Raw genomic sequence first — 26,741 nt, 5'->3', positions numbered from 1 at the left:
GTGAGGCAGATATTGTTGGTTCTTGGCCCACACTTTGAGTAGCAACAATTTAAACTATTTCAGAAAGTAGGAAAAAAAGATACAAAGTTCACCAGTTTATTTTACAAAGCCAACGTTACTTAAATACCAAAATCAGACAATGGTAATTCCAACAATAACAGATCCTCAGCTTCAACTAAATGTATAAATATAGAGGCAAAGTCTAAATAAAATATTAGCAAACAGACTTTGGCATTGAACAACAGAATTAGAAAGTTCTTCAATACAAAGAAACCCAGCAATATGACTCTTTGCATCAATGAACTAAAGGAGAAAACTGCCAACCTAAAAGGAAGAAGCTGAGGCACATTTTTTAATACTTCTTTTATTTGTTTTGGAAATGAGGTCTTCACTATATTGCCCAGGTTGGTCTCAAACTCCTGGGCTCAAGTGATCCTCCCGCCTCAGCCTCCCAAAGTGTTGGGATTACAGGCGTGAGCCAATGCGCCCAGCATCTGAGGCAAAATTCATCTGAGTAGAGTTTATTTGGGCCAAGTATAAGAACTGCAACCCAGGAGTGTAGACAAAAAGAGTGAAACGCTATAAAATATTTAAAGAGGTTTGTTCTGAGCCAAATATGAGTGGCCATGGCCTGAGGCACAGTCTCAAGAAGTCCTGAGAACATGTGCCCAAGGTGGTTGGGTTACAGCTTAGTTTTATACGTTTTAGGGAGACATAAGACATGAACCAATACATGTGAGATATACATTGGTTGGATCTGGAAGGGTGGGACAACTCGAAGTGGGGGGGCTTTCAAGTCACAGGTGGATTCAAAGATTTTCTGATTGGCAATTGGTTGAAAGAGTTAAATTATTATCTAAAGACCTGGCATCAACAGAAAGGAGTGTCTGGGTTAAGATAAGGGGTTGTGGAGACCAAGGTTGCTAGGAAGTGTCACAGATGAATGCCCTTAGAGACAATAGATGGCAAATGTTTCCTATTCAGACCTTTAAAAGGTGCCAGACTCTCAGTTTATCTCTTCAGGATTGGGAGGGTCTGGAAGGGGAGGATCTAGTTATGTTAATGGAGATTCTTTACAGATGCAAACTTTCCCCCACCAAAGATGGCTTTGCAGGGCCATTTCAAAATATGGCAAAAAAACACATATTTTGGGGTAAGATATTTTGATTTTTTTTTATGAAAACGATGTATTTGGGCACAAAAATGAAATACAGTTAGAAACCATATTCTATCAATTATGATATTCTGTAATCTAAGAACACAGAAAATTTTGTTATTAAGAAATGCCAAGAGGAAAAAGAACTCTGTGAAGTCCTATTCAATTTACTTTGTTAGGGAAAAGGCTGTTTATTTGGCTCTTGTCACAGTTCCATCATGTCTACTCTTCTTGTAAGTTCAGCTTCAATGCTATCTAATTCTCACTCTGCTTCTTCAATTTTCACTTGAGCAAGGATGGATTCGGCATTAAATCTAACTAGGACTCCAATTTTTTCTTCAAAGGTATAGTCTGTTGTTTTAATTTTGCCAGTTTCTCTGACAGTGCTACTAGGGACTGATGAGACAGAGAAGCATCCATGCCTCTGGCTGAAAGTTGCTCCCTCTGCAGCCTTGATTCCAAATCTGAATTCCACTGACTTTGGTTTTAGAAAGTCCATGTTCTGATGACGATTATCAACTTTGGCCCTTTCTGTAGACAGATGCAACTCTGCTTTCTTGAGATCCTCTTGTAGACATTTTTCTAATACTAAAGTTGCAGTTAGATTTTTTTTCAAAATTTTCCAGTTCAATCTTGATTTCTTCACTTTTGGATTTGGTACGAAAGAGGTAAGAGGTCAAATCATTCACTACAGGGATAAAACTAGTTAGTGAGGCATCCTTCGTTTCAAGGGCCACCGCACTGCCAACCAAAGCATTCAGATACCTGGAACCAGTGCTAGAGAGATTGGCAGGGGAAAAAATTCACACTCTCCATGAGAAGGTCTTGGAGATACTTGGCTTCTGACTGGTATTCACTTGCTTTCTGCTTCAAGTCCTCTATTACCAGGTAGACATCCCTGTTCTGGACCCTGTTGCGTTCTGAAAGGTGATGTAAAATCTCTGTGGTCCGTGGGTTCACCTCATACTGTGGAATGGGATGATCTCCATATATAATATCTTTTTTTATTATTTATTTATTTATTTATTTTTGAGACAGAGTCTCACTCTGTTGCCCAGGCTGGAGTGCAGTGGCGCCATCTCGGCTCACTGCAACCTCCATCTCCCGGGTTCAAGCCATTCTCCTGCCTCGGCCTCCCGAGTAGCTGGGACTACAGGTGCCCCCCACCATGCCTGGCTAATTTTTGTATTTTTAGTAGAGACAGGGTTTCACTGTGTTAGCCAGAATGGTCTCAATCTCCTGACCTTGTGATCTGCCCGCCTCAGCCTCCCAAAGTGCTGGGATTACAGGCGTGAGCCACCGAGCCCGGCCCAAATATTTTTTCTAACCACACAGCAATGTTTCTCTCTCCTCCAGCAGCTCCATAGCTGCCACTTCCGCCACTTCACTAGCAATATTTTGATTTTCTTCTCTGTCCAGTGGTGTTATGCCAGTCAGGTTGGAAAGTAACACATTATATAGAGTTAAATAAAATTCACCTGATGAGATGTTATGGTTCGTGATGTTATATGGTTTGTGATGTTATGGCGTAACTTCCCAGGTCCCTTAGATAGGAATTTGGGCAAGAGGGAAAAAAGGTCAGAGATTAGTCCTCAAGAGAACAGATTCAAGTTGCCCTGAATATACACTCTGGATTAGTGGCAGTTACAAGTGGATTTTTTTTTTTTTTTTTTTTTTTTGAGACGGCGTCTCGGTCGTCGCCCAGGCTGGAGTGCAGTGGCACGATCTCCACTCACTGCAAGCTCCGCCTCCCGGGTTCACGCCATTCTCCTGCCTCAGCCTCCCCAGTAGCTGGGACTATAGGAGCCCACCACCACACCCGGCTAATTTTTTTGTATTTTTAGTAGAGACGGGGTTTCACCGTGTTAGCCAGGATGGATGGTTTCGATCTCCTGACCTCGTGATCCGACCACCTCGGCCTCCCAATGTGCTGGGATTACAGGCGTGAGCCACCGCCCCGGCCTACAAGTGGATTTTTAAAGGAAAGGAAGAGGAAGTTCCTCAGTTGTTTACCAAGAATTTACATTAAAATAACAAACTACTGACAGGCTACATACAGGGTTCTTTGTATTACAAATTCCAGGCCAGGCGGTGGCTCTTCCCTGTAATCCCAACACTTTGGGAAGCCAAGGCAGGTGAATCACTTGAGCCCAGGAGTTCAAGATCAGCCTGGGCAACATAGGGAGACCCCTGTCTCTACAAAAAATAAAAAAATTAGCTGGGCATGGTCATGTGCGTTTGTGGTCCCAGCTACTCGGGAGGCTGAGGCAGGAGGATCGCTTGAGCCTGAGCGGTAGAGGCTGCAGTGAGCTGAAATCAAGCCACTGCATTCCAGCCTGGGTGAAAGAGAGAGACCCTATCTCGAAAAAACAAACAAACAAACCCAAATTCTAGGAACAAGAAGGCAAAGGGTGAGACAGCTGGTTGGGAACAAAATGACTTTAAACAATTGCCCCCAGGCATGGGGAGAGGGGGAGCAGGGAGGAATGAAAGTCCCATATTCGTGTCTTTCTGGGCCTGCAGACCACACATAGCCCAGACTGTTCTATTCTTCTTTTCTCAAAACCACATAATCATATTAATAGGTGCTAAAAGCAACCATTCCTAATCAAAACTTAAACAGGGCTAGATGGAAACTATGTAAACAAAACGAAGGATATTTACTAAAAACCAACAACAAGTGTTATTTTAAATGTCAAAACACTGGAAATATTTAATTAAAATCAAGAACAAGATTCTTGATGCTTACTAACATTATTATTTAACATGGATTTAAGGCAGTGGTTCTCAACCCCAGATGCCCATTAGCATCAATCTGGGAAGCTTTTAAATATATGTATATATACACCAATTAAATCTCTGAGCCTAAGGGCCTGCCTGCCATAGGAGGTTTTTTTTGTTTTGTTTTGTTTTGTTTTTCAGAGCTTCCTGGCTGATGCTAATGTGTAGCCCAGAATGAGAACCAGTCTTAGAGGCTTCAGCAAATGCAACAGAAAAAGAAAATAAAGCAGCAGGCATCCTCGCTGGGAAAGAAAGAGGGTTGTTAGATAAAATACAGAACACCCAGGTAAATTTGAATTTCAAATGTATCATGAATCGCTTTTTAATATAAGTATGTGCCATACAGTACTTGGGACTTACTTATACTAAAAAATTATTCCTTATTTTTCTGAGATTCATATTTAGCTGGGCATTCTGTATTTTTGTTTGCTAAAGCTGGCAACCCTAAAAGAAGAGATATAAATGAATTCTATTTGCTGATGCTATAATTGTCTACCTTGAAAACCCGAGACCCCGTTACTGGCAGTGAATCCATATGGTTCTGCAGCAACCTCAATTCTTGGCTCCTCAGAAGCAAGAACTCAACTGAGGGGCATAAGGCAGAAAAAGGGACCAAGGCAAGTTTCAGAGCAGGAGTGAAAATTTATTAAAAAGCTTTAGAGGCCGGGCACGGTGGCTCACGCCTGTAATCCCAGCACTTTGGGAGGCCGAGACGGGCGGATCACGAGGTCAGGAGATCGAGACCATCCTGGCTAACACGGTGAAACCCCGTCTCTACTAAAAATACAAAAAATTAGCCGGGCGTGGTGGCGGGCGCCTGTAGTCCCAGCTACTCGGGAGGCTGAGGCAGGAGAATGGCGTGAACCCGGGAGGCGGAGCTTGCAGTGAGCCGAGATCGCGCCACTGCACTCCAGCCTGGGCGACAGAGCGAGACTCCGTCTCAAAAACAAAAACAAAAAAATCTTTAGAGTCAGCTGGGCGCAGTGGCTCACGCCTGTAATCCCAGCACTTCGGGAGGCCAAGGTGGGCAGATCATTTGAGTCCAGGAGTTTGAGAGCAGCTTGGGCAACATGGCAAAACCCTGTCTCCACAAAAATACAAAAATTAGCTGGGTGTGGTGGTGTGTGCCCGTAATCTCAGCTACTCGGAAGGTTGAGGCACAAGAATTGCTTGAACCCAGGGGGCAGAGACTGCAATGAGCTGAGATTGTGCCAGTGCACTCCAACCTGGGCGACAGAGTGAGACCCTGTCTTAATAATAATAATAATAATAATAATAAAAGCTTTAGGGCAGGAATTAAAAGAAAGTACTTAGAAGAGGGCCAAGGGGGCATCTTGGAGGTCAAGTGCCTCATTTCACCTTGGACTTGGGGTTGTATATGCTGGCCTACTTCCCGCATCTTGCATCCTTTTTCCCTTGATTCTTCCCTTATGGGGGCTGCCCACATGCGCGGTGGCCTGCCAGCAATTGGGAGGTGAGCATGCGCAGTGTGTTTACTGGAGGTGTACGCATGCTCACCTGAGGCGTTCTTCCCTTTACCAATAGAATGTCCCCAGAAGGTCATATACCACTTAAACTCCTCCATTTTGCCCCTTAATGCACATGCTCCAGCGCATTCGCCCAATTCCTGAGCTCTTACTGGGAAACCGCTGATCATCAGTTTCAGGTGTTTTTATCTATTGGGAAACTGCTTTTCCCTGGTGCTGGCTGTGACCAATTATTATTTTAGAGAGACAGTTAACCGACTGACCATGACCTGATGGTCACCTGACATCTGACATTCCTGGTGGTGGTTGGCAGGGAAGGGGAGGGGTGCTCTCCTGTCCTGTTTAATGTCTGACTAGCTACCTACTGTAACAATTCTATTAAAAAACTTTTAGAGTAACGATATTTGGTAAGGAGACTGGATACCAGATACATTACAACAGTAAATAGGCTTTTTTGAATAAGTACCTATGAGGCCATAGGGACAGGACTTGGCCCATGCCCACTAATGTATTTTTCCATACATACTGACCAGACCTTGCAAGCTGTTTGAAGAAACTAAGATAAACAGCAACCCCCAATAAATCTTACTCAAGGCACCATACTGGCTGATCGCAGGACCTTGAAAAACTAAAATAAGCAATATCCCAACATAAATCTTACTCAAAGGAGTTAACCCTATCACCCACATGTGCACAAGACCAGACCGCCCAAGGAGGGGCTTATCTGCCATTTTCCGCTCATGTGATGTATGTGTTAGCATAACCCCTTACTACGCCTGTGCTTCTTGAATTCCACCCTGCACATGTGGACACTCTCCTAACCTCATGAATTAGGTATGTCACCCTCATTAAGACACCGCAGTGCACTCCCCTCAGAGGCAGCTGGAGAATTTTTTTCTCCTGCACTGTCTCCCTTATGCCCAACATTTCTGGGCATGTCTTAATCAACCTTATCTGGAAAAGGCTTGCCTGGCCTCATGTCTTTTCTTTCTCTTTTTTTTCTTCTTTTCTTTTCTTTTCTTTTTCTTTCTTTCTCTCTCTCTTCTCTTTCCTCAAGACAGAGTCTCGCACAGTCGCCCAGGCAGGAGTGCAGTGGTGTGATCTCGGCTCACTGCAACCTCCACCTCCCGGGTTCAAATGATTCTTCTGTCTCAGCCTCCCGGGTAGCTGGGATTATAGGCATGTGCTACCATGCCCAGCTAATTTTTTGTATTTTTAGTAGAGACGGAGTTTCACCATGTTGGCCAGACTGGTCTCGAACTCCTGACCTCACGTGATCTGCCCGCCTTGGCCTACCAAAGTGCTGGGATTACAGGCATGAGCCTCCATGCCCAGACAGGAAAGGAGCCTTTATTTCTTATAAAGGGTTATATAGCCTGCAGGCTGGCTATCCCACAGGCTGCGAAGTGTAGCCTCCAGCAGACACTTCGAGGGAGTGGGGAACAAAGATTTATGCTGAACGGGTTACATCCCATGTTCACTTTGGCGGGGAGACTTAACATTTAAATGGATAACAATTAGTCCCTATCAAAGCTGTAGTGATGGCTGGTAGAACAGAGGGTTGGGGGGTCACTTAGTGTTTGGTGGTGGGTGAGCTGCAATTGCATCAACATTGCTTATTTCAAAACCAGTGCTTGTTTAGTTGCTAGAATAAAAGGGAAAAGAAAAATCCTTGTGGCAATTAGAACACAGTTGATTCCTTTTTTTTTTTGAGACTGAGTTTCACTCTTGTTGCCCAGGCTGGAGTGCAATGGCTCGATATCAGCTCACTGCAACCTCCACCTCCCGGGTTCAAGAGATTCTCCTGCCTCAGCCTCCTGGTAGCTGGGATTACAGGCACCCGCCACCACGCCCAGCTAACTTTTTTGTATTTTTAGTAGAGATGGGGTTTCTCCATGTTGGTCAGGCTGGTCTCAAACTCCCAACCTCGGCCGGGCGCAGTGGCTGACGCCTGTAATTCCAGCACTTTGGGAGGCCGAGGTGGGTGGATCACGAGGTCAGGAGATCGAGACCATCCTGGCTAACACGGTGAAACCCCGTCTCTATTAAAAATACAAAAAATTAGCCGGGCGTGGCGGCATGTGCCTGTAGTCCCAGCTACTCAGGAGGCCGAGGCAGGAGAATGGCGTGAACCCGGGAGGCGGAGCTTGCAGTGAGCCGAGATCGCGCCACTGCACTCCGGCCTGGGGGACAGCGAGACTCCGTCTCAAAAAAAAAAAACACAAAAAAAACCAAACTCCAACCTCAGGTGATCCACCTGCCTCGGCCTTCCAAAGTGCTGGGATTACAGGTGTGAGCCACCACGCCCGGCCCATAGTTGATTCTTTAAGTGTAGGAGCGTGTAACTTAACCCTTGCCTGGCGTGGCTTTAGGTCTTGTTTATAATTTGGTATCTTATTGCCACAGAGGGTCCCTTCCATCAGTCTTATGATCTCTATTTCAGCATTAATTCTGGTTAGTTGTTCTGTCTAAACTGCAGAGGGAGATGGTATAACGAGATGTTTCCAACCTCCCAGCTCTCATGGCAGGGAACACAGTTTTTAAGGTCTTTCTGGGGTGCCCTTGGCCAAGAGGGGTTCCACTCAGCTGGTTAGTGGGGGTGTGGATTTTATTTTGAGTTCTCAGTGGCAAAAGGTAACATGAACAAAGTCAATAGACAAACAATAGATGTGGACAAAAATGTATAATAAAGGGTTAATTTCTTTTTTTTTTTTTTTTTTTGAGATAGAGTCTCATTCTGTCACCCAGGCTGGACTGCAGTGGCACAATCTTGGCTCACTGCAATCTCCACCTCCCGGGTTCAAGCGATTCTCCTGCCTCAGCCTCCTGAGTAGCTGGGATTACAAGCGCACACCACCACGCCCAGCTAATTTTTGTATTTTTAGTAGAGAAGGGGTTTCACCATGTTGGCCAGAATGGTCTCGATCTCCTGACCTCGTGACCCCCCACCTCAGCCTCCCGAAGTGCTGAGATTACAGGTATGAGCCTCTGTGCCTGGCCTAAAGGGTTAATTTCTACAGTATACAAAAATATCTTGCAAATTGATGAGAAAAAGATGTATAGACCCAAAAAAAAAAAAATGAGCAAAAAATATGAAGAACAAGTCCCAACACATGAAAAGGTGCTTAAATTGTCTAGTGGTCAGGGAATATATCATGCTAATATCATTTTATACTCATGAGATTCACAAAACACAGAAAGAACTCTAACATCCAATGCTGACAGAGATGAGGGAAAGGGGAATTTTCAGGCATTGCTGACAGTAATGGCATTGTCACAGGGTTTTGTTTTGTTTTGTTTTAAAAACAAGCAACAGCATTTACTTTTAAAAGGCAATTACTATACTAACCAGCAATTTGACTTCCTGCAATCTGTCTGATATGGTTTGGCTATGTCCCCACCCAAATCTCATCTTGAATTGTAGCTCCCACAATTCCCACATGTTGTGGGAGGGACCTAGTGGGAGGAATTGAATCATGGGGGCGGGTCTTTCCATGCTGTTCTTGTGGAAGTGAACAAGTCTCACGAGATCTGATGGTTTGATAAAGGGGAGTCTCCCTGCACAAGTTCTCTTTTCTGCCGCCATATGAGATGTGCCTTTTGCCTTCTGCCATGATTGTGAGGCCTCCCCAGCCACCTGCGAGTCCATTAAACCTCTTTTTCCTTATAAATTACCCAGTCTCGGGTATGTCTTTATCAGCAGCATGAAAATGGACTAATACATTGTTCCATTAGTAGAGATAGATCAGTATCTCTACATAGGGACATATATACAATATTTATTGCAGCTTTGCTTTAGTGGTCAAGAACAGGAAACAAAGTAAACACCTAATAAAAGTAGGATCGCTGAATAAAGGGTGGTCCTCCATAGCAAGGAATATTATACAGCCATTAAAAAGAATCAATTAATGAACAAAAACGTTCATGGCAGCACTGGCCATAATAACCCCAATGCCTATTAGAAGGAGAATAGATCGATAAATTCTGGTATAGTCACACAATGGGATAGTATACCACAACCAGAACGAACAAGCCACAACTACATGCAACAACATTATAAATGTCAAGAATATAATATGCAAAAAAGTATGTACTGAACGTTTCTTTTATGTAAGGCACAAAACAGACTAAAGAAATCGATGCTGTTACAAGTCAGGAGGATGGATACCCTTGGGGAGGTGGGAGGTCAAGGGGAGGAGGCACGTTGGGAGAGGTAGCAGTTCTCGGGCACTGGTAATATTTTATGTCTTGATCTGGGTGCTGGTTACGTGGGTGTATTCACTGTGGAAACTCATCAAGCAGTACATTCATGATTTGTGTATTGAGAAACACCAGACTTAAAATTGTAATAACTTGCAGGGATTTCAACTAGGTATTGATTGTTGGTTAAGAAAAACAGGATGTGGAAAATCATGTATAATATAATCCCATTTTTGGCCGGGCGCGGTGGCTCACACCTGTAATCCCATCACTGTGGGAGGCCAAGGCGGGCAGATCACGAGGTCAGGAGATCAAGACCATCCTGGCTAACACGGTGAAACCCCGTCTCTACTAAAAAAAATACAAAAAATTAGCCGGGTGTGGTGGTGGGCGCCTGTAGTCCCAGCTACTGGGGAGGCTGAGGCAGGAGAATGGCGTGAACCTGGGAGGTGGCACTTGCAGTGAGCCGAGATGGCGCCACTGCACTCCAGCCTGGGCAACAGAGTGAGACTCCATCTCAAAAAAAAAATATATATATATATATATATAAAATATATTATAATATATATATTATATATATATAATCCCATTTTCATACAGCATACAACAATAAAACCACCCTGATTATGTATTCCTGGGGGTGTAAATACATGTACATATGAGGATATATGTGAGTCTCTATAGATTTATATGCAGACAGATAAAAATATGGAAAGCTGGCTAGGCGCAGTGGCTCATGCCTGTAAGGAGGCCGTGAGAGGCCAAGGCAGGTGGATTACCTGAGGTCAGGAGTTGAAGACCAGCCTGGCCAACATGGCAAAACCCCATCTCTACTAAAAGTGCAAAAATTAGCTAGAGGTGGTGGTAGGCGCCTGTAATCGCAGCTACTTGGGAGGCTGAGGCAGGAGAATTGCTTGACCCCGGGAGGCAGAGGTTGCAGTGAGCTGAGATCAAGCCATTGCACTCCAACCTGGGCGACAGAGCAAGACTCTGTCTCAAAAAAAAAAAAAAAAAAACTTGGAAGGCCATATAGCAGGTTAAAATGGCTTCCCTCAGTGAGGGAGAAGGGGATGAGGGTCATGCTGATATTGGGGGAGGAAAGGGAAAAAGGAAAATAATATGCCCTTGTTTAAAAATGACAACAACAACAACAACAACAAAGTATAGGCCAGGTGTGGTGGCACGTGCCTGTAATCCCAGCTACTTGGGAGGCTAAGGCAGGAGGATTGCTTGAGTCCAGGAGTTCAAGGCCAGCCTGGGCAACATAGCCAGACCCCACCTCAAAAAATACATATATGATCCCATCTATGTAAAAAAGATACAGAAATTTAGAAGTAGGTCCTACTAAGGTTTAAAAATTGAGACCCAGGAAATGATTTATGTTGCATAACTCAAGCACATGGCATATTATGAACATTTGGTCATTGTCTGGGAAAAAATATGAAGCCTAAAGATTATTAACAAACAGCAAAGAATACAAACAATCTACTTATCAACTGCTAGCAATATGGTGGACTCAGACAACCTGAAAATTCTTTTACTATAATCACTTAGAAATACTGGGTAAAATGTAACTTAACTATTTTAAATGTAGAGCTAGGCCCACAAATAATAAAATCAAATCCCCGGGTGCCAGAAACAAAGAAGGAAATGAAAAAGCAGAAGGGTGAGTGCCTGAGTTAATGGGGAGCAACTGTCTGCAGAGCCTGGGGGTTTGGGAATGAATGCCCACACAGGGGCAGGAAATGAGGCTTTGGGGCTCTGGGAGCTAGGGAATTGCCCAGAGAGCTTTGCTTACAGCTGAGACCCTCAAATAACTATTCTATAAATGAAAGGATTTAAAAACAAGAGGGACCACAGGACACAGGGCTTTTGGTGGGAAAAAAATAAAAGCTCTCTGAGAAGTCAAAACCACAAGACCACAATTCACATTGCTTTTACTCTACCCACATAGTTCAGAAACTCCAGACTAAAAAGTACCGTGAGAATTATTCATCAAGCAGTGATACTCCTGGGGCACAAGGCAGAAGCAAACAAAAAACTTCTTTGAATTGAAGCTCCCACATCCCAAATATCATGGAATGTTCACACACAAAAAAATAAACCCTGCTAATGATGAGTTCACAGTAGAATATTACAAAGCCCATTGGTGACTAATCCAACTCAATCAACAGTCTGCACATAGTACAAACATACAATTATACCCCCACAAACTCCAAATGCACACAGATAACCAGAAAGAGATTATTTTAAAAATACATATAAAGTAACTGCAGACTAGATAAGACACAATCAGATCCTAATAGAACTAAACTCTATGGAAAAAGGACAAGAAGGATTGAAGAAACATCAAATAGAACAGTAACCCCATAATGTATCAGGGAATACGTTTTTTAAACAAGATTATAGGGATGATAATAAATTCTTCACTGAAAGACATTAGAGAAGACTAAAATGATTGAAAAAATGTACCATTTCACAGATGGGAAGACTCAATATAGCGAAGGTGGCAACTTTCTCCAGATTAGCTTATAAATTTAATGCAGTTCCCATCAAAATCCAACAGAGGATTTTACAGAATTCACAAACTGATCCTAAAATCTGTACAAAGTGCCAAAGGGCCAAAAAAAAAAATGTTAAAGAATAAAGGTAATGGGGATGGGGCTCATACTACCAGATATCAAGACTATTATAGACAGGCACTGTGGCTCATGCCTGTAATCCCAGCACTTTGGGAGGCTGAGGCAGGAAGATCACTTGAGCCCAGGAGTTTAAGGCCAGCCTGGGCAACATTGTGAGACCTTGTCTCTACAAATAATAAAAAAGTTAGCCGGGTGTGGTGGTGTGTGCCTGTAGTCCTAGCTACTTGAGAGGCTGAGGTGGGAGGACTGCTTGAGCCTAGGGGGCTTGAGGCTGCAGTGAGCCATGATCATGTCACTGCACTCCAGCCTGGATGACAGAGTGAGACCCCATCTAAAAAAAAAAAAATACTATTACAAACCTATAGTATGTGATACATGAGATATTAGTGAGAAGATAGTCAAAGAGACCAGTGGATCACAAGGCCTAAAAACAGACCCATGTGGATATGGAAGCTTACTGTATGGCAGAGGCGGCCTTACAAATGAGTAGGAAAGAATGAACTGTTCAATAAACTGTGCTCCCACATCATACCTTAAAATCATTTCTAGTGGATGAGAGAGCTAAATGCTCTTGAAAAGCAAAATTTAAAAAAAACCTTTGGAGGATACAGTTGATTCTCATTATTCACAATAGCTGTGTTCTATAAACTCGCTGTGAACACTGAATTAGCAAATACTGAACCATTGCTCTTAAGGGAAACACAGGGTAGGGTTCCCGTGAGCCTCTGGTCACGACATTTTCATCACCCTATCAATCCAGAACCTTGTTTTGTGTATGTTTCTGTTGAAAGGCATCTCATTGAATTGTATTGCTGATTCCTGAACACTAAACTCCCGGCCAACAGGGCCATCCCTCATGCTTGAAGGAAGCTTCTCTAACACGTGTTTTCTCTGTAAGGCACATCACAGCTTCCTTGCGCTTGGGAGTGCCAGACAACACTTCCATCTATGCTTGGGGGCCATTTTAAACAGCAAAGTCACCCACAAAAAGCACAAAAATGTGGAAACGGTGGCACTAAATGTGCCTCAAGAAGGACACTTGTTTACAGTTTGACAGCTGAGACAAGAAGGCAGAGTGTCACCTTGTTCCACCTCAGCTGGGAATGTGCGTGACTCAGATTTTTTCACTACTTTTGCATGTGGTCACTGAAGATACTGATTTTGGCAAGTAGGCAAATTTGCAAATACAAAATCTATGAATAATGAGGATCAACTGTATCTTTCTGATCTTTCCAGGAGTGAAAAGGATTTGTTTGTAAACAAGACACAAAAAGCACAAATTATAAAGAAAAAGACTGACAAACAGGACAAATAACAATTTAAAACGTCTACTTGAAAATGGATGCCAGAAAAAGAGTGAAAAATCAAGTCACAGACTAGAAGAAGACATCTGCTTCACAAATAAAGAACAAAGTATTGGTATCGAGAAGCGTTTTTAAAGTTCTTAGAAATCAATAAGAAAAATACAACCAGCCATTAGAAAAATGAGTAAAGGCTGGCTAGGTGCGGTGGCTCATTCCTGTAATCCCAGCACTTTGGGGGGCCGAGGTGGGCAGATCACCTGAGGTCAGGAGTTCGAGACCAGCCTGGCCAACATGGTGAAAGCATGTCTCTACCAAAAATACAAAAAGTAGCCAGCCGTGGTGGTGGGTGCCTGTAATCTCAGCTGCTCAGGAGGCTGAGGCAGGAGAATTGCTGGAACCTCGGAGGTGGAGGTTGCAGTGAGCCAAGATTGCAACACTACACTCCAGCCTGAGTGACAAGAGTGAGACTCCATCTCAAAAACAAAAACAAACAAACAAAAACCAAAGTGGTCATTTAGTTACTATATCAAATCAAGAATATGTTATCATTAGTGCAGATTATCTTATATGGGGGACTGGCAATGAGTAACATTAGAACACGTGAGAAATAATTTCTAGACTTGTGTCTCAGTGTGTCTCCATTCTGTAAGTGATACACCTCTTCACTTCAAAAAGAGAGTGGCAAGAGATAAGATTGAATGGGGAGGAAGGCACCTTCTCCGACCACACTAAGGGGTTTGAGTTTAATGCTGAAGACAACAGGAAGCCAGTGAGGAAGCTGAAGAAAGGAAGGATAATCTTAGAAGTAGAAAGTGTAGAAGAAACCCAATAAAAAAGAAATGGAAGCTAAAGAGAGAGGGTTGGACAAGAGAATGAAAACGTATATCCATGCACATACTTGCAACTTGAATGTTCTTTGCGGCAGTTTTCATAACAGTCAAAAAGTAGAAACAGGTCGGGCGCAGTGGCTCACACCTGTAATCCCAGCACTTTGAGAGGCCAAGGCAAGCGGATCACTTGAGGTCAGGAGTTCAAGACCAGCCTGGCCAACAGGGCAAAACCCCGTCTCTACTAAAAATACAAAAAAAATTAGCCGGGCGTGGTGGCACATGCCTGTTATCCCAACTACTTGGGCGGCTGAGGCAGGAGAATCATTTGAACCCGGGAGGTGGAAGTTGCAGTGAGCAGAGATCGTGCCACTGCACTCCAGCCTGGGCGACAGAGCAAATGAATGTTCATCAACTGATGAGTGGATAAACAAAATGTGCTATATCCATACAGTGCTATACTAGTCAGCAATAAAAAGGAATGAACTATGAATATGTGCTATGATACAGATGAACTTCAAAAACGTTATGCTCAGTGAAGAAAGCCAGACACAAGAGACCACATATTGTTGGGTTCCATTTATGTGAGTTATCCAGAAAAGACAAATCTATAGGCAGAAAGTAGGTTCATGGTTGCTTGGAGAGTGGATGGGGTGGGGCAGGGTGAGAGCAGTAGGAGGGTTAACCAGAAGTGTGCGCGAGGGATCCTATTGATCTAATGAAAGTGTTCTCAAACTGATTTATGGTGATGGTTTCCTAACTTAGGAAATCTACTAAAACATTATTGAATTGTACACTTGAAAAGGGTGAATTATAGGATCCAAAATATCCCTCAGTAAAGTTATTTTGAGAGAGAAACAGAGAGTAGAAAAAAGCACCTAATCGGCTTAAGAGAGCTTGCGGGCCAGCTGAGAGGGAGAACGCGCCTGGGCATGAGACTCTGCCCGGCTTCTGGTCCACAGGCCTCTAGGCTCTTCCTGCCCAGGAATAGGGCATCACTTTCAGGCAGGGGCAGCTTGGAGAGCTGAGCTGACCGTGGGTCAAGTGGACTTGGCCTTTGATCCTGCTCTCACTGTGTATCCTACCTCTAGCTAGACCTTGGCCTTGAGACCTGCTTGCCCCAGTTCTTACCTAAGAGGATCTAGCATTGCTTTTGACAGCCCCATTCAGTGACCTGAGCCCAGAGGCTCCTTACTCCAGCCCCACTACCACCACTGCTGACCACCGAGCGGGTCCGACTGACACCTGCCTGCCCCGCCTCAGCTACTGGCCCTTCTGATGGGCACTAGGGCAAGGTCTTCCAGCTGTTGCCCATGAACACACTCTTAATTTTGGCACTGCCTCCATTTGGCTGCAACTGAGAGAGATGGTGGCCCATAATAAGATTATGCTGTGGTGGTCAACCTTGGGCAAGGTACTTAACCTCTCTGATCTTCATTTTCCTCGTGGGTGGAACAAAGAAGATACTGGCATCTCTCTTATGGGATAAAATGAGATCATTCATGTAAACTGCCAAATACAGCAGCCAACACATAGTAGGTACATACAGTGGGTGTGTCTAGTTCTATGCTTGGGTTCCTTTCTGTTTGGGTTGAGAGACCTCAGTCTCTCTGCATGCTGGAATGTGACACAGGTCACCAAACAGACTTACAAGTGTTGACTCTAGAAAAATTGGTACCATTATCAGTGATACATCATATTGATAGTAGGTATCCTTGATATAATTTATTCAAGCAGAATAATGCTGGCTTCATAGAATGAGTTGACAATTTTTGCATCCTAAAATGCCACCAGGATGGCACTTAACCTCTGTGGTCTTCCTTCCCCAAACACACAACCCCAATCTAATCAAGAGAAAAACATCAGACAAATCCTAGTCAAGGGAGATTCTACAAAATACCTGAGCAGTACACCTCGAAACTGCCAAGATTATAAAAAAAAAAAAGGAACTGTCACAATCAAGAGGAGCCCAAGGAGACGAGATGACTGAATGTAGGTAATGCCGTATCCTAGATGGGATCCTAGAACAGAGAAATAACATGAAGTGGAAGCTAAGAAAATTTGCATAAAGTATGCGTTCGTTCAGCAGTTGCCAACCTTTTTGGCACCAGGGACCGGTTTGGTGGAAGACAATTTTTCCACAGACTGGGGTCGGGGGATGGTTTTCCACAGACTGGGGTGGGGGGAAACTGTTCCACCTCAGATCACCAGGCATTAGATAGATTCTCACACGGAGCACGCAACCTAGATCCCTCACATGCACAGTTCACAATAGGGTTCGTGCTCCTATGAGGATCTAATGTTGCCACTGATCCCACAGGAGGGGGAACTCAGGCGGTAATGCAAGCTCACCTGCCACCCACCTCCTGCTGTGCGGACCAGTTGCTAACAGGCCACAGACTAGTACCTGTCCGCAGTCCAGGGACTGGGGACCCCTCCGTTAGTTAATAATAATGCATCAAGGCCAGGCGCGGTGGCTCACACCTATAATCCCAGCACTTTGGGAGGCCAAAGCAGGCAGATCACCTGAGGTCAGGAGTTCGAGACCAGCCTGGGCAATGCAGTGAAACCCCATCTACCAAAAATACAAAAATTAGCCAGGCGTGGTGTGTCTCTACTAAAAATACAAAAAAATTTAGCCGGGCGTGGTGGCAGGCACCTGTAATCCCAGCTACTTGGGAGGCTTAGGCAGGAGAATCACTTGAACTCAGGAGGCAGAGGTTGCAGTGAGCCAAGATCACACCACTGCACGCCAGCCTGGGCAACAAGAGCAAAATTCCATCTCAAAATAATAATAATAATAATGCATCAACATTGGCTCATTAATTGTGGCAAGTTTACCATACCAATGTAAGACGTGAATAGGGGAAACTGGGTCTGAGGTATGTAGAACTCTCTGTACTATCTCTACAACTTTTCTATAAACCTAAATCTATTCTAAAATAAACAGATTATTTACAAAGCAAAAACACAAAAAGTCTGTCGTCCACACATGTATGGATCTATTTCTGGACTCCATTCTGTTCTATTAACCTATTTATTTATCTTTACACCAATACCACACCGTTTAATGAGTAGAGCTTTATAATACATCTTGAAATAAGGTAGAGTGTTAGTTCTCTAAATTCGTTCTGCTTTGTCAATGTTGTTTTGCTTATTCTAGTTCCTTTGCGTTTTCATATGAATTTTAGAATTAGTCTGTTGATTTCTATTTTTTAAAAAAAGGCTGCTGGGATTTTCATTGGGACTGTGTTGAATCTATGGATTAATAAACTGGGAATGGTTGGGGATCTTCACATTATTGAGTCTTCTGACTCAACACAGTATATCTCAAGATTTATTTAGATCTTCTTTAATTTCCCTCAGCAATATTTGTAGCTTCTAGTGCACAACTTGCAAATACTTTGTCACATTTATTGCTAAATATTCCATTTTTCGAAGCTCTTTTTAATAGTATTGGTTTTGCTATTGTTGTTGTTGGTTTTTGTTTGTTTGTTTTGAGATGGAGTTTCGCTCTTGTTGCCCAGGCTGGAGTGCAATGGTGCAATCTCAGCTCACCGCAACCTCCGCCTCCCAGGCTCAAGTGATTCTCCTGCCTCAGCCTTTCGAGTAGCTGGGATTATAGGCATGTGCCACCACGCCTGGCTAATTTTGTACTTTTAGTAGAGACAGGGTTTCTCCATGTTGGTCAGGCTGGTCTCGAACTTTCGACCTCAGGTGATCCGCCCACCTCGGCCTTCCAAAGTGCTGGGATTACAGGCGTGAGCCACTGCACCCGGCCAGTATTGGTTTTTAAATTCCAATTTCTGATTGTTCGTTGTGAGTATATTGAAGTAAAACTGATTTTTATATATTGATCTTATATCCTGCAAACTTGCTAAACTAGCTTATTAGTTCTGGTAGCTCTTTTGTACAGTCCATCAGATCATGTCATCTGCACATAGAGATAATTTTTCTTCTTCTGTTCAAATCTGGATGTCTTTATTTCTTCCTCTTAACTGATTATACTGGCCAGAGCTGTAGGTTTTTCATATATGCCCTTTATTAGGTTAAGGAATTTTCCTTCTGTTTCTAGTTTGCTGAGAAGTTTGATCAGAAATGGATGTTGGATTTTATTCAACATCTATGTTTACTGCGATACTCATATGATTTTTTTGGTTTGTTAATAAGGTGAATTATATGGAATGAGAACAGTATTTAGTCTAAAGCTAATTATTCCCCACCACTGAGGCAAGGTCCTTTGGAGTACTCTATCCAATGCTCCAAAAATCAGGAGATTTTCCACACTAATTAGTGGGACAAGGCTTTATTCTGGGCCCTAAGTGAGCAGCGGGTGGTTCTTTCCCTGGCCTCAGGTAATTTCCTCATGTGCATGCCCTGCTCAGCCTTCTGCTAAAAACTTGAGGGGAAGCCTCTGCAGATTTCCAGAGTTCTCTCTCTGTGCAGCTGTCTCCTCTTCAGGACTATGTCCTACAAACTCTAGCCACCTTGGACTCCCAATTTAGGGATTCTTCTGGCTTTGCCTGAGTTTCCCCTCCCTGTGCCACAGCCTGTAAACTCTCTGAAGGGAGTAAGCTGGAGCAATTGTAGGGTTTACCTCATTCATTTCTCATCTCTCCAGGATGACTATTCTTTAGTGCCTGATGTGCAGTGTTTTGGAAATAATTGTTTCAGATATTCTGTCTTTTGTTTTTGTTGTATCAGGAGGATACATCTGGTCCCTGTTACTCCATGTTGGCCAGAAGTAGAAGTTGACTTCAGGTTTTCATTTACTTTGAAAATCTTCTAGCTGGATGATAGAGATTAAAAGTACTTTTATTTTCCAACTCAGCCTGCCCTGGCCCCTTTATATTCCTCATAAATCCTGCTTGAAAACTGAACAGTTTTTGCTTTGGCTCATCTCTCTTTTCTTATACTCTATTATACACAGCTAGGACCAATCAGCTGTCACTTTCAACATTTTGCCTGTAGACCTCCTTAGTCAAATCCAAATTTCATTAAGAAGCTTTTCCATCTTCCATATTATCATAAACTACACTTTTGGAAATTGTTTCAAAACCACATAACATGTGTAACCATGTTTTGTAGCCTGCAATAGCAGTTTCCTAGCTAATTTTCCAGGTTTTGCTGTTTCCTCACTGCTTTTCCAGCCTCTGCCCTAATGTGGCAGGCCAAGTCTCACTAACACAGGCCTCCATAACAACTGTTTCAATACTGACTGAGTGGTTAAGTTAAATATTAAAAGCTAAAAAGCCAGTGCCCTTATACAAAGGCTGGAATGTAACAAAAGCCCACCAAGAGTTTTGCCTAGCCCTTCCCTGGGCCTTAAAGCATGACAAAATAACGAAGGAATTCTTAACAGGACCCATTTAGGATTAAACATGTTTTATTGTGGGTCTGAAGAAACTCCCCAGGCCTCTGCAAACAAGTTTACTGGGGGTCTGAAGGAACTCCCCAAACCTCCGTGATTTAGCAGGAGACAAGATACGGGTAATCACCTCAGCACTTGGACCCATTTAGATTAAGTAAATTTACTGAGGCTCCAGAGGAAGGTCTTCAGGACTCAGACCTTAGTTACAGATTAAAAGAAGTTAATCACTTATGTCTTTAGATGAGTGCACACTTACACGTAGGCATACAGCTTAGAAGGTATATAAGCTCTGGAAAACTTTGTAATTTTGAATTGGCCTGGCCATAATTTCCAGGTCTTCTCCCTGTAGCCAGTTGCAGAAATAAGAACTCTCTTCCTCTCCAGTTCAACTGCATCTCGTTATTGGGCCACAAGAAATAGCAGCCCGATCCTCAGTTTGGTCCAGGCACACTAACACCTTGTCCTAAAATTACTGACACATATTTCAGTTTTTGTTAGGATAGCACTCCACTTGTAGATATCCTTTTCCTTATAATTTAGTTTTTGCCACATTATAAACTACTCTAAAATTCAATGTCTTAAAAACAGCAACTGTCGGGCACAGCGGTTCACACCTGTAATCCCAACACTCTGGGAGGCTGAGGCAGGCTGATCACCTGAGGTCGGGAGTTCAAGACCAGCCTGACCAACATGGAGAAACCCCATCTCTACTAAAATACAAAATTAGCTGGGCATATGTAGAAAGAAATAGACATAAGAGACTCCATTTTGTTCTGTACTAAGAAAAATTCTTCTGACTTGAGATGCTGTTAATCTGTAACCCTACCCCCAACCCTGTGCTCGCAGAAACATGTGCTGTGTCGACTTAAGGTTTAATGGATTTAGGGCTATGCAGGATGTGCTTTGTTAAACAAATGCTTGAAGGCAGCACGCTTGTTAAAAGTCACCACCACTCCCTACTCTCAAGTACCCAGGGACACAAACACTGCGGAAGGCCGCAGGGACCTCTGCCTAGGAAAGCCAGGTATTGTCCAAGGTTTCTCCCCATGTGATAGTCTGAAATATGGCCTCGTGGGAAGGGAAAGACCTGACCGTCCACCAGCCTGACACCCGTAAAGGGTCTGTGCTGAGAAGGATTAGTAAAAGAGGAAGGCCTCTTTGCAGTTGAGATAAGAGGAAGGCATCTGTCTCCTGCTCGTCCCTGGGCAATGGAATGTCTCGGTGTAAAACCCGATTGTATGTTCCATCTACTGAGACAGGAGAAAACCGCCTTAAGGCTGGAGGTGAGACATGCTGGCGGCAATACCGCTCTTTAATGCACCAGATATGTTTATGTATGTGCACATCAAAGCACAGCACATTTTCTAACTTTGTTTATGACACAGAGACATTTGTTCACATGTTTTCCTGCTGACCCTCTCCCCACTATTACCCTATTGTCCTGCCACATCCCCCTCTCCGAGATGGTAGAGATAATGATCAATAAATACTGAGGGAACTCAGAGACTGGTGCCTGTGCGGGTCCTCCGTATGCTGAGCACCGGTCCCCTGGGCCCACTTTTCTTTCTCTATACTTTGTCTCTGTGTCTCTTTCTTTTCTCAGTCTCTCGCCCCACCCGACGAGAAACGCCCACAGGTGCGGAGGGGCAGGCCACCCCTTCAGGCGTGGTGGCGCATGCCTGTAGTCCCAGCTACTCGGGAGGCTGAGGCAGGAGAATCGCTTGAACTGGGGGGGCGGAGGTTGTGGTGAGCCAAGATCACGCCATTGTACTACAGCCTAGGCAACAAGAGCGAAACTCCATCTCAAAACAAACAAACTAACAACAACAACAAAAAACCCAGCAATCACTTATTTGGACTGTGAAAGGGAAGTATCTTGGGTCCCCAAAATCACTAAGCTAGGAACTGCTTAGGGAAAACGTGCCTCCCATTCTATTCAAAGTCATCCCTCTGCTCACTGAAATAAATGCATATGTGATTGCCTCCTTTGGAAAGGCTGATCAGAAACTCAAAAGAATGCAATCGTTTGTCTCTAGCCTACCTGTGATGTAGAAGCCCCCTCCTCTCTTCGAGTTGTCCCCTTTCTGGACCAAACCAATATTCATCTTACATGTGTTGATCGATGTCTCATGTCTCCCTAAAATGTGTAAAACCAAGCTGTGCTCTGACCACCTTGGGCACATGTCATCAGGACCTCCTGGGGGTGTGTCATGGGCACGTGCCCTCAATCTCGGCAAAATAAACTTTCTAAATTAACTGAGACCTGTCTCAAATTTTGGGGGTTCATAAGACCATAACTTTGTACATCAGCAATTTGGGCTAGCTTCAACTGTGCAGTTCTTCTGGCCTGGATGGGTTCAGGTAATCTCAGCTGAACTCATTCATGCATCTTCAGTTGGCTGGTGGGTTAGCTGGGGCTGGCTACTTTATGATGAATTTAATTGGGATGACTAGGCCTTCCTCCAGAGGCCTGAGTTTGTTTAGTTGGAAGTGGTCCTAAACCATCAAAGGTGATAGTTTCCGTGACAGGGATAATTAATCAATTTATACTGAATATTTGGATTTAAATCTACCATATTACTGTTTGGCTTATCTCTTCTATATTCTTTTTCCCTTTTGACTTCTTTTTAAAATTGTTATTATTCCATCTCTCTATAGATTGGAAATTATATACCTTTACTATTTTTTTAAACCAGTTATTCTAGAGATTACAACATGCATTCTTGACATCACAATCTAATGTTAATTGTTGCTTTGACCGTGTTTTTAGACAATAAAAAGACCTTAGAACCCTTTAACTCCATTTATTCTCTCATCAACTTATGTACTAACTATTGTTATCATTTAGTCTCTGTAATTTTACTCTTATTTTAACTCTTATAAGAGGTTATTATTCATTTAGATTTTACTCACACATTTACCATTTCAATGCTCTTGAGTCCTTCGAGCACTTCTGATCTTCCATATAGGCTCATAGAAGCACATCCAAATAGAGAGAGGTGGTGGGGGTAGGACTTGAGAAGGATCAGTAGTGCCTTGTAAGGCAACTAATTCAGGGGAGGCCATTACAGGTCCTCCAGGCCCCAAAAGGGGAAAAGTACCCTCCTCAGGCAGGGATGGCAGGGCTGCTTCTCCAGGAAAGGAAAATAAGAATCAAAATCTGCTGGTGGGTCCTGGAAACAGTAAACTAGAGGTTCCTCTTCAAAGACTTTCCTCCCCATCTAATTAGGAATAAATAGTAACTTCTCTTAGAAGCAAAATTTATTCAAAGACCTGTGCTAACATTCTTAAATATCTGCTAGCCGTAATAAAGAAATCAATGTACTTTATGTTCTTAGCTTCCACAATTTAGCCTAAATATTTGCCCTGGCATGCTTATACTGGCCCAAGCAAGCATTAGGTCATATCCTGTTCCTCTTCCTTATTTGAAGGTGTTTTTACCTTTCTCAGCATTCCACAAGTTACTTCCTCCTTCCTTTGTTCTCCTCTGCCTTTCCCTCTTTTAGAAAGTTCTAAGTTGCAGGCCGGGCGTTGTGGCTCGCGCCTGTAATCCCAGCACTTTGGGAGGCTGAGGCGGGCAGATCACAAGGTCAGGAGATTGAGACCATTCTGGCTAACACAGTGAAACCCTGTCTCTACTAAAAATACAAAAAAATTAGCCACGTATGGTGGCATGCGCCTGTAGTCCCAGCTACTCGGGAGGCTGAGGCAGGAGAATCACTTGAACCCAGGAGGCGGAGACTGGGGTAAGCCAAGATTGTGCCACTGCACTCCAGCCTGGGTTACAGAGCGAGACTCCGTCTCAAAAACAAAAAAAAAAACACACACACAAAAAAGTTTAAGTTGCTAGCCAGTCAGGACAAATACAGAATTTGAGGTCCCATTCCAGCCAATGGAAACCAGACACAGCAGTAGGGTGGACACGTCAGGTTAAATGACCCTGTCTCCTCTGTTCGGTGTACTCTTACAGCAAAATTGCTGGCGAGTGTACCCTTTCTGCAGAAAGTGAAAAAATGGCCTTGCTGAGGAAATTAAATTTATGTTCAAGTGCTGGTTGTTTACGGCACCGGGGAACAAGCATTTCTAACCGGTCTCCATTCCAATTTTCAGGCTGCCATTCCTTCCCAATCATTGTCCTTTCAGCAACATACCCTAAGAGGTTGGGAGTTCAATTTGTATTGTCATTCAAGCATTCACAGGATTAGACTTCGGGTTTGGCTTTCAGAAATCTAAGCCTTGTGGCTATAGGAGATAAGAGTTTCTTTCCTGGTAGTTTTAGAAACATTCAGGTCCTTTATGTAGACCTTGAGCTGATCACTTTCTTTACCCAAGTTCTTCAGTAAACAACCAACCAACCAACCCTATTATACTCATCCTTTTGACTAAAATGTTAAAAGTAGCAAATACTTGTTCTCCTAGAGGTTTGCCTTCTATAGGTACTTGATCGCAAGTATCTGAAGGTGATAATTTGAGTAACTATTTTGCCACTTCACACTGTGGAGTACAAGTACCTCTTTAGCACTGGAAACAGGGCTACTCGTACCTTTAAATCAAATCAGAGTAGGGAACCAATTTCAGAAAACCCAGAACCAATTCAGAGCACTTATCTTTAAGATTCTGTTCTTCTGGAACTACTCTCAGTACCAAATTCTGTGTCAGTCTGGGTTCAACCAGAGGCAGAACCAGAAGAAGATACAGATAGGTAGGTAGGCAGATAGGTGATTGATGATTTATAGGTAGATAACCAGTAGAAACCAGATGTGGTCTCCATATCTGATGCTGGAGCTCAAAGTCTACAGGGCAGGTAGTCAGGAAGGAAGATCACGAGCAGGCTAAAACCCACAAGCACAAGCTGGCACCCCACAAAAATGAACTGAAGCCTGTGTCCTTTCTTACCATCTCTGACCTTGGTCATCGAGTTGCCCTGCAGAAGCCAAGGCTTTCGGTCATGGAGCTAAACACATGTACACAGCCCAGAAATCAGAGAAGCTGATAGGATCCAGGGGTAGGTAGAGCAATTGCAGGCCTAGCTACTGTTTCACACCAATGAGGTGAATCTGCAGATCAGCCACAGCATGTGTAAGCTGCAAAATAGCAACTCCTTTCCTTTTACCTCCCAAATCTCCTGGCCCACCCTAACCAGAAACATACAAGAGAGGGAATTCTGAGAAAGGTAGTTCAGCCTAGCCAAACTGACACAATTACAAAGCCATCACTTTCTTTAATGGTTATATGTCTCTTCAGACACTCCTTTTGTTCTTGAGTTATATTTTTCCATAGAAAATAGTCCATGGGGCCGGGCGTGGTGGCTCACGGCAACATTACAATTTAAAGATCTTACTTGGCTTTGTGATTCTAGAATCAGGCAACACTTCATTCCATAAAATTAGAGTAAGTGTTCCAATGAGTTGAGCAGAGGAGGTTGGTATGGACAGAGAAAAGCTGAAGAAAGCAAAGCGGAACCAAAGAGTGAAAGCAGATTGGTCTCCTCCAAGTTACTTTCCTTGTAAGGTAGAAACAGAGAAACAGAACACTAGACAAATAACTGATTGGAATTGATTGGTTAACACCAGGTTACTTCAGATTACATTTTCTTTTCCTTACTTTTTTTTTTCCTGTTTTTTTGTTTGGCGGGGGGACGGAGTTTTGCCCAGGCTGGAGTACAGTGGCATGAACTCAGCTCACTGCAACCTCCGCCTCCTGGGTTCAAGTGATTCTCCTGCCTCAGCCTCCTGAGTAGCTGGGATTACAGTGCCTGCCACCATGCCTGGCTAACTTTGTATTTTTAGTAGAGATGGGGTTTCACCATGTGTTGCCCAGGCTGGTCTCAAACTCCTGACCTCAAGTGATCCACCGGCCTCGGCCTCCCAAAATGCTGGGATTACAGGCATGAGCCACCGTGCCCGGCCAGTTTCAGATTACTTTTTGTTTTAAGGATTAAAGGCAGAGGGAACTTCATTATCACTTGGGTGGAAATTGGCCCATTTGGGAAATGAGGCTGTTTCACTATCCTGATTTTTTGGAAGGCCAGCTAACAACTCATTTTTGGTTTGGTGATGTGGCACTTCAGCATGAGTGACTCCACTTTGATTTTTAGTCTGGTCTGTTTGTTGCTTAGTTGAAAACAATGGCCTCCTCCAGATTTTTGTTTAACACCTTTCTCCTCTTTTGATCAGGCTCTCCCCTAGGTGAGAGTGCCACCAAAACTTAGGGCATCAGCGCTGCTCTCAGTTACCATCATCTGGGTTTCTAGTCTCAATATATCAATCACAGGTGATGGTATCTTCATGATCACACACTTCTCTGAGTTTCTGTCATTCCAGCAGATGAGAGACCATTTCATGCTTGACAAATGGCTGTGTTCAAACATTTAAAACTTTTTGAGAGGATACAGTGCACTACGGAGACTACTATTGTAACTATCAGGAGGATAATACCTAGAATTTGGAGTATGGTTCTTAGCCAAGGTTCCCATAAACCAACCCAACTAAAATTAAGTAGATCAAAGAAGGAGCCAGATGAGGGGTCTACCATCATAACCAAGTAGCCTGTTAATTTTTGCAACTGAGTCTCCAATACCTGATGGATTTATCCCTGAGCAACAAGAAGTGTTAGCAACTGTACAGATGGCAGTAGGCAGCAATTTTATTATCCGCCATCCCATGACTGGGTGAAATTAAAGCAAAGAGTGACCATTTGCAAGTGACCTGCAAAAGCTACTGACTGAAATTCTAACTACGGCATCATTCTGCCAAGTGAAAGAGGTAAGAATAAGCAAAGAAAAATTCAGAGGAGTAAGAGTCTTAGGATAGGGAGGCTTCTTCCGATTGTCTCGGGAAAGCTGTCCACAGTGTGAAGTTGGCAGCTTCGCATCCTGGTTTGCAGTTTCAATGTTTCTGGTTGTAACATTGGGCATTCTGGTGAACTCTTTGTGTGGCCCACACATCAGGCATGAGACTTGTCCCTTCCCAAA

The 26,741-nt window shown here is 43.5% G+C and overlaps 1 pseudogene, besides 3 other annotated features; it reads right to left on the bottom strand.

The window, feature by feature from the left end:
- On the bottom strand, nt 1,169-2,547 carry HAUS1P2 (HAUS augmin like complex subunit 1 pseudogene 2; annotated as a pseudogene).
- Nucleotides 4,375-4,875: an enhancer, noted in NCBI's record as "H3K27ac hESC enhancer chrX:18881163-18881663 (GRCh37/hg19 assembly coordinates)". NCBI's record gives its function as "activates a minimal SCP1, AML or CMV promoter by ChIP-STARR-seq in naive H9 embryonic stem cells {active_cell/tissue: H9 hESC(naive)}" and the evidence as "EXISTENCE:reporter gene assay evidence [ECO:0000049][PMID:30033119]".
- Nucleotides 4,876-5,376: an enhancer, noted in NCBI's record as "H3K27ac hESC enhancer chrX:18880662-18881162 (GRCh37/hg19 assembly coordinates)". NCBI's record gives its function as "activates a minimal SCP1, AML or CMV promoter by ChIP-STARR-seq in naive H9 embryonic stem cells {active_cell/tissue: H9 hESC(naive)}" and the evidence as "EXISTENCE:reporter gene assay evidence [ECO:0000049][PMID:30033119]".
- Nucleotides 11,389-11,628: an enhancer, noted in NCBI's record as "active region_29459". NCBI's record gives its function as "activates an Ori minimal core promoter by ATAC-STARR-seq in GM12878 lymphoblastoid cells {active_cell/tissue: GM12878}" and the evidence as "EXISTENCE:reporter gene assay evidence [ECO:0000049][PMID:35858748]".

Source organism: Homo sapiens, chromosome X, assembly GCF_000001405.40.
Source record: "Homo sapiens chromosome X, GRCh38.p14 Primary Assembly".
NCBI classification, from domain to species: Eukaryota; Metazoa; Chordata; class Mammalia; order Primates; family Hominidae; genus Homo; species Homo sapiens.
Note: the sequence above shows the minus strand (reverse complement) of the source record. Positions and strands in the feature narration are given on the sequence as shown.